The 10,042-nt window shown below is 45.3% G+C and overlaps 1 annotated feature.

Moving 5' to 3' along the window:
• Positions 1,166 to 1,275: a silencer, noted in NCBI's record as "silent region_9469". NCBI's record gives its function as "represses an Ori minimal core promoter by ATAC-STARR-seq in GM12878 lymphoblastoid cells {active_cell/tissue: GM12878}" and the evidence as "EXISTENCE:reporter gene assay evidence [ECO:0000049][PMID:35858748]".

The raw sequence follows: 10,042 nt of genomic DNA, 5'->3' as shown, positions 1-10,042 counted from the left end.
GAATCACCACACCCAGCCTCTTTTACATTTTAAGATGAATATAGGCTGGGCACGGTAGTTCACACCTGTAATCCCAGCACTTTGGGCGGCCACCGTGGGCAGATCATGTAAGCTCATGAGTTCAAGACCAGCCTGTGCGACATGGCGAAAACCTGCCTCTATAAAAAATACAAAAATTAGCCAACTTGGTGGTGCACACCTGTAGTCCCAGCTACTCAGGAGGCTGAGGTGGAAGGATAGCTTGAGTCTGGGAGGTGGAGGTTGCAGTGAGATGGCACCACTGCACTCCAGCCTGGGCGATAGAGCAAGACTCTGTCTCAAAAAATAAATAAATAAAAGAAAATAAAAAAATTAAAAAAGCCGGGCGCGATGGCTCACGCCTGTAATCCTAGCACTTTGGGAGGCCAAAGTGGGTGGAACATTTGAGGTCAGGAGTTCGAGACCAGCCTGGCCAACATGGTGAAACCTCGTCTCTACTAAAAATACAAAAAAAAAAAAAAAAATTAGCTAGGCGTGGTGGCGCATGCCTGTGATCCCAGCTACTCAGCAAGCTGAGACAGAAGAATACTTTGAACCCGGGAGGTGGAGGTTGCGGTAAGCCGAGATCACACCATTGCACTCCAGTCTGGGCAACAAGAGTGAAACTCCACCTCAAAAAAATAAAAAATAAAAATAAATAAGTAAATAAATAAATAAAATCACATGAGGTTTTTTCAAAAGGCAGATTCAAGAACCCCAGTCTAGATTAGAGCATCTGTATTTCTAGGGCTGGAGCCTGGCAATGTATACATTGAAAACCCTACCCAGGGAGATTCTGATGGGCCCCCTAAATTCTCTTTATTCATATTGGTCAATAGACATTTATTCAAGACCTACTGTGGGCCAAGACTGAAAGGTCTAGAATATATAGAAATAAAAAATTTTGTTCGTGCCCTCAAGGAATTCAGCAAATTATGGGGAAAGATAACCATGAAAACAGACATTGACTAAACAGTATAAACTCTTTGAAAGACAGAGGTACTAAATGTGATAGGAACACAGATGAGGGGCTTCCAAGCATGCCAGGCAAGAAGCCTTCCCAGAGGAGGTAGCACTTGAATTAAGCTTTAAAGACCATCAAAAGTTTCACAAGGTGGGAAGAGGGAAGCCACAGGGAAAGGCCAGGACTTCAGAAACATAGATCTTACAAGTAAGGTACAGAGACTGAGCAGGCAGAGACCAGGTAAGGGGTAAGGGGAAGTGAAAGGGGAATTAATAACAACAGAAACTCCTCCCTGCCTCAAGCACCCCTTGCATCTGTGTCTGCAGACTGCCCCTATCTTTCTCTTGACTTGCTGTGCCAACCCTGGGGAATCACAGACAGAACTGGCTGTTGGTTCAGGGGTGTGAAGTTGAGGAAGTTGAGAAGATGCTACTGCAAGAGCCAGATGGGGCCAGGCACTGTAGCTCATTCCTGTAATCCCAGCCCTTGGGGAGGCCAAAGCAGGGGGATCCCTTAAGTCCAGGAGTTCGAGACCAGCCTGGGTAACATGGAGAGATCTCATCTCTACAAAATTTTTTTTAAAATAGCTGGGCGTGGTGGCACATGCTTGTAGTCTCAGCTACTTGGGAGGCTGAGGTGGGAGGATTGCTTGAGCCTGGGAGGTTGAGGCTGCAGTGAGCTGTGATTGTGCCACTGCATTCCAGCCTGGGTTACAGAATAAGACCCTGTCTCAAAACAAATAAACAAGCCAAATAAACAAAAAGAACCAGATGAGTTGGGAGGGAGTGCTACTCTGAGCTTTTACTGAAAATATGTGAAACCGCCCCTACAGAAATTAGCAACTAAAAAAGCAGAGGGCTGGGCTCCGCAGCTGGGTCTGGGATCTTCCTCCCTAGCCTCTCCCCACATACCCCTTAAGCTGCACTTGGCCTTGGAAGAAGTATCATCCCAATTTCCCTTCTTTCAAGGCTGGCCCTGGATGCACAGACCGATGACACCTCATTGGCAAATATATTGATTATGGGGATGGGGATGAAACTCGCAATATGCCTGCAACCTATCCCTTGAGGGTAGCCAAATCTATTTAAATTGACCTGAGTGGTGCTCTTTTCTGAAGAGAAACTGACTATACAATCCACAGTTTTCCCTCTCTCAAAAGTGTACCCTTGGCAGTTACCTGGCTCTGTGGATTCATTTCATTCAGCTTCCATTTTGTTGAACACACTTCAAAATCCTGCTGCTTCTATCCCTAATGCTCTATTTAACAGGCGCCACAGTGCACCAGCCCCTCACAGTGAAGGCTCGCCTAATCCTGACACACGTAGCCTAGAGCAAAGATGAGACCTGTTAAGAGTTTAGACTAAGATAGTCTTCATTTAATGATTTACAGAGTCTCCCTGTCTCTCAGAAAAAAGTTTAGAGAAAATGCTTTTTATGTGAGTCAAACATCAATCTCTCCCAGAGCTTCAAGACACTCATTAAGCACCACTGTTTACAAGGTAGCCAGCATGAAGATATTCAAGGCCAGGGCAAATACAGACAAATAGAAATGCTTGCCTGAGGCTGCTGAAGTTTCTAGAATACAATATTCAGGGTAACCCATAATGAAGAGGCTGCTGAGCCTGCTGTGGTCTGTTTCCCAGACCTCAGCTTACAAACAGCAAAGGGCAGCCCCTTTGTGTTCTACTGTCCAGATTCCTTTGAAGGAAGAGTTTGCTTTCAGGAAGAGAATTCAAAAAGGTCAATAAGGCGAGATTGAGAAAACCTAGGGTAGCCTAGGCAGGGAAAAGATGTGTTTTCTTTCCTGTGTGGCTAAAAGCTGATACCATCGGTTATTTGCGTGGGTGAAGGCTAACAGTTGCTTGCCTATCCTGGCATATCACAGCTGGAAGGAATTCCAGAGACCACTAGCCCAGCCCCATCACTGACAGATGATGGGAAACCCTTAGGCTCAGAGAGTGAAGTGGTTTTCCTGAAGTTACACAAGTTAGCCGACTAGAACTAGGTTCTGGGTCTCTCCTAGGGATTGAATGCTTGTGCCCCTCTCCCCTCAAAATTCACATGTTGAAACCTAATTCCTAATGTGATGGTATTTTGAGGTCAGGACTTTGGGAGGTGATTAAATGATGAATATGGTCATGAATGGGATCAGTGGCCTTATAAAAGAGACCCAAGGGGCCAGCTGCCGTGGTTCACGCCTGTAATCCCAGCACTTTGGGAGGCCAAGGCAGGCAAATCACTTGAGGCCAGGAGTTCGAGACAAGCCTGGCCAACATAGCAAACCCCATCTCTACTAAGAATACAAAAAAAAAATTGCTGGGCACGGTGGCGCATGCCCGTAATCCCAGCTACTCAGGAGGCTGAGGCAGGAGAATTGCTTCTACCCAGGTGGTGGAGGTTGCAGTGAGCTGAGTTTGTTCCACTGCACTCCAACCTGGGCAACAGAGCGAGACTTTGTCTCAAAGAAAAAAATAAAAGTAATAAAATAAAAGAGACCCAAGGGAGCTCATTCCACCATATGAAGACATAGCAAGAAGGAGCCATCGATGAGAAAGTGAGCCCTTACCAGACAATAAATTTGCCTAAGCCTTGATCTTGGACTTCCCAGCCTCCAGAACTGTGAGAAATAAATTTCTGTTGTTTATAAGTCACCCAGTCTATGGTATTTTGTTGTAGCAGCCCAAACAGATTAAGACAGACCCCAAGCCCATTGCACCACACTGTGTCCCTCCCTACACCACATCCTTGAAAACCGACCCTGTTTTCAGCCAAAGAAATTGCTGGTGCTGGATGTTACAAAATAAACCTTCTATTGAAAAATATTTTTCTTCGTTTTCCAAAAACCTCAAGTTTGCCCGTGTGTGTGCTGACACCTACGTGTAGTATAAACTCACCTGTCTCTGAGAGGGGAGAGATTTAAAGAGATCATCTTGCCAGGTCTACAATTGCAGGCCAGGTAGGTTAAATGATGGCCACAGCTAGGAGCTAAAGAGGAGATCAGAGGACTCTGACATTTCTTTCAACCTTGAGTATTCCTGTTTTCCCACTTCCACTCTGGGAAAAACAGTGAACTGAATCACTATGGAGTTGATATCCTGCTGTGTTTGGCTGCAGACCCTCCAATTCCAGATAAATGCACTCTCAGTCCTGCCCATCTTCCAGTAAACAGAGAAGCAAGAGCAGAGCTCTGCTGACAAAACACCTCTAGGCTGCGGCCATGTTCCATCTGCTCTGGGGAGTGGCCAGAAGGCAAGACCAGAGTCCAAGGTGACTCTGCAGTTGGGATGGGGGGAAAGGAGAGTCAGGAAGGGCTGCTGGAGTAACAGCTGGGAATGCTGACTGACAAGCAGTGGGATAAACCATGTTGGAGAAGGGCAGTTGGGAAGGAAGAATGTGATATGGTTTGGCACTGCGTCCCCACCCAAATCTCATCTCAAATTGTAATCCCCAGGTGTTGAGGGAGGGACCTGGTGGGAGGTGACTGGATCATGGGGGCAGTTTCCCCCATGCTGTTCTCATGATAGGGAGTGAGTTCCCATGAGATCTGATGGTTTTATAAGGGGATCTTCCCCCTTCACTTCCTTCACATGCTGTCTCGCCTGCTGCCATGTAAGACTTCCCTGCTTCCCCTCTGCCATGATTACAAGTTTCCTGAGGATCAGCCATGCAGAACTGTGAGTCAATTAAACCTCTTTTCTTTATAAATTACCCAGTCTTAGGCAGTTTTTTGGTTTTTTTGTTGTTGGTGGTGGTTTTTTTTTTTTTTTTTTTGAGGCAGAGTCTCACTTTCTCACCCAGGTTGGAGTGCAGTAGCGTGATCTCGGCTCACTGCCAATCTCTGCCTCCCGGTTTCAATAAATTCTCCCACCTCAGCCTCCCAAGTAGCTGGAATTACAGGCATGCACCACCGCACCTGGCTAATTTTTGTATTTTTAGTAGAGATGGAGTTTTGCCATGTTGGCCAGGCTGGTCTCGAACTCCTAACCTCAGGTGACCCACCTGCCTCGGCCTCCCAAAGTGCTGGGATTACAGGCATGAGCCACTGGGCCCAGCCAGGCAGTTCTTTATAGCAGTGTGAGAACAGACTAATATGGGGTATGAACCAAGCTATTTGGAATGAGAGTCATGAAGGAACAGTACCCAGCCCAAGGCAGTGGTACTGGGATTAAATTGGACAATTAAGAGATAGCAGCAGTACTAAAGACAGGAATCCAGGTAAAGGAACATGGGACAGAAATATAGATGAAAATGAACTCAACATTAAGAGCCTGTTTAGTCCATCATCCCATCTTCAGGCAAGACTACAGAACACGGCTTTCATGAGGGGGCAGATTATGTTGGGATGGTTTAGCAACACCAAGGTTAAGGCCCAGAAATGTCAGCATGTGCAATTGGCTACAACACAGCCTGTCGGCATTCTATGTGTTCAGCCTCGAGTGAAGATGGTTCTTACACAAGGGACTCTTACACAAGGGTCTAGTTGCAGCCCCTGATTTGCTAGATCCTGGGAACCCCTTGGGAAATTTTTTTTCACTTGGGCAATTTTTTGAGTCCAACCAGTATGAAGGATTCACATATGTGTGGATCTGCTGGCCTGAGACACCCAGTAGAAGCCAGAACACAAGGACACAGAGGCCCGAGAGAAAAATCTCACTGGATAGGGTAGAAGTCTAGAATGTTGGCAGGGTGGGGCAGTGGGGGCGGGGACCAGACTGAGCAGTGAGTGCTGAATGGGAGTGATGGGTTCTATACAATATGAGGTCATTCTCCTTCTTCACCTCCTCGGCCCCCATTCCTCTTGCTCCAGAGTGCATGTGCCTTAGGAAGAAGACACCTGAATGGTAAAACTCAAGACCTGGATCACCATGGGCTTCAGCCCCTATGCCTGAGGATCCCTATAGTGAGTGGCTTCTACCCTTCACCCATCCCTCAGAAAATAGACCTGGGCAATTTGCAGAGAAAGACACTTGAATCAGAGAAAAAGCAAAACAGAAAGATTTACATGAACTAGAGAGAGATGGTGGCAAACCCCAGAAAGCACCAAAGAGCAAACCCCAGAGACTGAGGTCCACTTAGTACCACCACAAGGACAATTAGCAACATGCAGTTTAGAGTGAAACAGAGATGGAGTTCTAGCTCCTCCAATCACCACCTCTAATTAGTCAGGGTTCTCCAGAGAAACAGAACCAATATGATATTGTCTTAGTCCATTTTCTGTTGCTTATAACAGAGTACCTGAAACTGGGTAATTTATAAAGAAAAAAGATTTATCTCTTATACTTATGGAGGCCAAGAAGTTCAAGTTCTAAGGGCTGCATCTGGTGACGGCCTTCCTGCTGATGAGGACTCTGCAGGGTCTTAAGGCAGGGCAGGGCATCACATGGCGAAGGGACTGAGTGTGCTAGTTCAGATCTCTTGGTCTCTCTTCCACTTCTTTCTTCTTCTTATTATTATTGTTATTTTTTTTTTAGATGGAGTCTCCCTCTGTCACCCAGGTGGGAGTGCAATGGTGCGATTTTGGCTCACTGCAACCTCCACCTCCCTGGCCCAAGCAATTCCCCAGCCTCAGCCTCCTGAGTAGCTGGGATTACAGGCACTCGCCACCACATCTATCTATTTTTTTTTTTTTTTCAGTAGAGATGGGGTTTCACCATGTTGGCCAAACTAGTCTCGAACTCCTGACCTCAGGCAATCCGCCGGCCTCGGCCTCCCAAAGTGCTGGGATTACAGGCATAAGCCACCGTGCCCGGCCTTCCTCTTCTTATAAAGCTACCAGTCCCATTCCCATGATAACCCATTAATCTATTAATCCATTAATTTATTAATCCATTTATCCATGAATGGCTTAATCACTTCTTAAAGACCCCACCTCTCAATACCAACACACTGGAGAGTAAATGAGTCTTGGAGGGGACATGAGTTTTGGAGGGGATAAATATTCAAACCATAGCAGATACATAGAGATACATGAGAGAAAATTTATTATAGAAATTGGTGTACATGATTATGGAGGCCAATACATCCACAATATGCTGTCTGCAAGCTGGAGAACCAGGGAAGCCAGTGGTGTAAACTCTCAGTCCAAGGTAAAAGGCCTGAGAACTTGGAGAAACCACTGATGTTAAGTTCCTGGGTCCACAGGCCCACCGATCGGGGAAGCTTTGATGTCCCAGGGCAAGAAAAGATAGATGTCCCAGCTCCAGAAGAGAGCAAATTCACCTTTGCCTTTTTGTTCCATCCTGGCTCTCAATGGATTGGATGATGTCTGTCCATACTGGTGGGGGCAATCTTCTTTTCTCAGTCTACCAATGCAAATGCTAATCTCTTCTGGGAACATCCTCACAGACACACCCAGAAATAATGTTTTACCAGCTATATGGGTATCCCTTAACTCAGTCAAGTGGACATCTAAAATTAACCATCACACTACCCATCTGCCCTCGGGAAATTTATCTAACCTCTCTGAGCTTCAATTTATTCATCTATTCGTCTATAAAATCAGGCTCTTATAAAGGCTTAATGAGATCATTTCTGCAAAACACTTAGCACAGTGCTTGATGCATACTACACTCTCAAAGAGGTGGTAGACTACATCATTATGGTTGGCTAAACAAAGGACTAGCAGCATTGAGAGTAGGTGACCAGAAGGAAATGAAAGTATGGAACTCTAGATGGGGCTGGATGGCAACAGATACCCAAGAAAGTCAGAGGTGAAAACTGGGTCAGTACAATGGAGGCTGGTGGCCAGAGTGATCAACTGGCTATGGCATTTGTCCATTAGCAGTCTGAGACAAGTGAGTTTAGTAAGGGAGAAGAAATAGCAGGAGCAAAGAATGACAGAAGGATGTGCAGGGGCTGAGATTCCCTCTGTTCAGGGGGAGTTCTTACAGAGCGACAAAAAGGGGGAACTCTTGTCCAATCATTCAATAAACATCATTAAAAGGAAAGAAGGCAGGGTCCACCCCATTGGCAGGAAGCTACTAACATAGCTCATCTAGGGACAAGCTAGCCCTTTCCTAGGTTCAGAAGGCCCAGAGGACATTAAAAATACTAATGGGTTGGGCCAGGAGCGGTGGCTTATGCCTCTAATCCCAGCAATTTAGGAGGCTGAGGCAGGCAGATCACCTGCGGTCAGGATTTCGAGACCAGACTGGCCAATATGGCGAAACCCCGACTCTACTAAAAATACAAAAGTTAGCCAGGCATGGTGGCACATGCCTGTAGTCCCAGCTACTTGGGAGGCTGAGGCAAGAGAATCACTTGAACTTAGAAGGTGGAGGTTGCAGTGAGCCAAGATCGCACCACTGCACTCCAGCATGGGTGACAGAGTGAGACCCTGTCTCAAAAATAAATAAATAAGTAAATAGTAATGGCTCTTGAACATATGAAAATATATTCAACCACACTGTAAAAAGAAAAGTGCAGGAAGCTATTATTTATACATCAGAAGTACAAAAACCAGCAAGTTTAAGAACACAAGAACAAAACTGGCCAAGTGTGGTGGCATATGCCTGTAATCCCAGCTACTCTGGAGACTGAAGCACAAGAATCGCTTGAAGCAGGGAGGCAGAGGTTGCAGTGAGCCGAGATTTCACCACTGAACTCCAGCCTGGGTGACAGAGTGAGATTCCATCTCAAAAAAAAAAAAAGAAAAAGAAAAAAAGAAAAGTAAAAGAACACAAGAACAGTCCTGTACATAGTTTGTGGGAGGTTTGCATTATCTATCAAAATTACAAATCCACATACCGCCAGACCCCACAATTCCACCTCTAGGAATTTATTCTTGAAGTGGAATTTGTACTTATCACTTCTGTTCGAAATGATGTATGCCCATGGTTTTTCACTGAAGCATTATTTCATAGAAAAAGAATGGGGGCTGGGTGCAGTGGCTCATGCCTGTAATCCCCACACTTTGGGAGGCCAAGGTGGGAGGCTCACTTGAGGTCAGGAGTTCGAGGCCAGCCTGGCCAACATGGTGAAACCCCATCTCTACTAAAAATACAAAAATTAGCCAGGCATAGTGGCGGGTGCCTGTAATCCCAGCTACTCGGGAAGCTGAGGCACCAGAATCACGTGAACCTAGTAGGCGGAGGTTGCACTAAGCAGAGATCATGCCACTGCACTCCAACCAGGGCAACAGAGCGAGACGCCATCTCAAAAACAAAACAAAACAAAACAAGAATGGGGAAAAATAAACTTAAATGCTAAGTAAACAAATTAAGCTACATTCATTAAAATAGAATACTGTATAGCCACTAAAAAGAATAACAAGATGTTCTATATGTTCTGATACAGAATGATCTCCAAGGAAAAAGTAGAAATTGTGAAAAGGAGAGGGGAAAGTTGGCCACACACACACACACACACAAATTCCATCTAGTAACTCAATCTACACTATAGCAGCTGGCACAGAAAGAACAATGATTGACCAGTACCCTAGTGCCACCATTTTCCTCTGAGGCCTTGAACATTCAGTTCTCTAAGCTCCAGCCTGTGAAATGCGTTTACACATGTAAACTTATGTGTTTTTACATTACATGGTATTATTATGTTAAATTCTTGTTAGAGAAGATCAATAATAGATGGCCAGTATCTCCTGTATGACAACCATTTAAAACATTAACTATGTAATTCTTCACTTAAAAAAAAAAGCCAATTTAGGAGAATCACTTGAACCCGGGAGGCAGAGGTTGCAGTGAGCAAAGATCATGCCCACTGTACTCCAGCCTGGGTGACACAGCAAGACTCTTTCTCAAAAAAAAAAAAAAAAAAAAAAAAAAAAAGCCAGGCAGCATAGCAAGACCCCATCTCTACCAAAAAAAAATAAATTTAAAAAAAAAAAAAAACAACACTGGGCACGGTGGCTCATGCCTGTAATCCCAGCAATTTTAGAGGCTGAGGTGGGCAGATCACCTGAGGTCAGGAGTTCAAGACCAGCCTGCCAACATGGTGAAACCCCATCTCTACTAAAAATACAAAAATTGGCCGGGCATAGTAGTGGGTGCCTGTAATCCCAGCTACTCGAGAGGCTGATGCAAGAGAATCCCTTGAACCCAGGAG

Source organism: Homo sapiens, chromosome 18 (assembly GCF_000001405.40).
Source record: "Homo sapiens chromosome 18, GRCh38.p14 Primary Assembly".
Taxonomy (NCBI): Eukaryota; Metazoa; Chordata; class Mammalia; order Primates; family Hominidae; genus Homo; species Homo sapiens.
The sequence above is the reverse complement of the archived record's forward strand: the minus strand, read 5'-3'. Positions and strand labels throughout refer to the sequence as shown.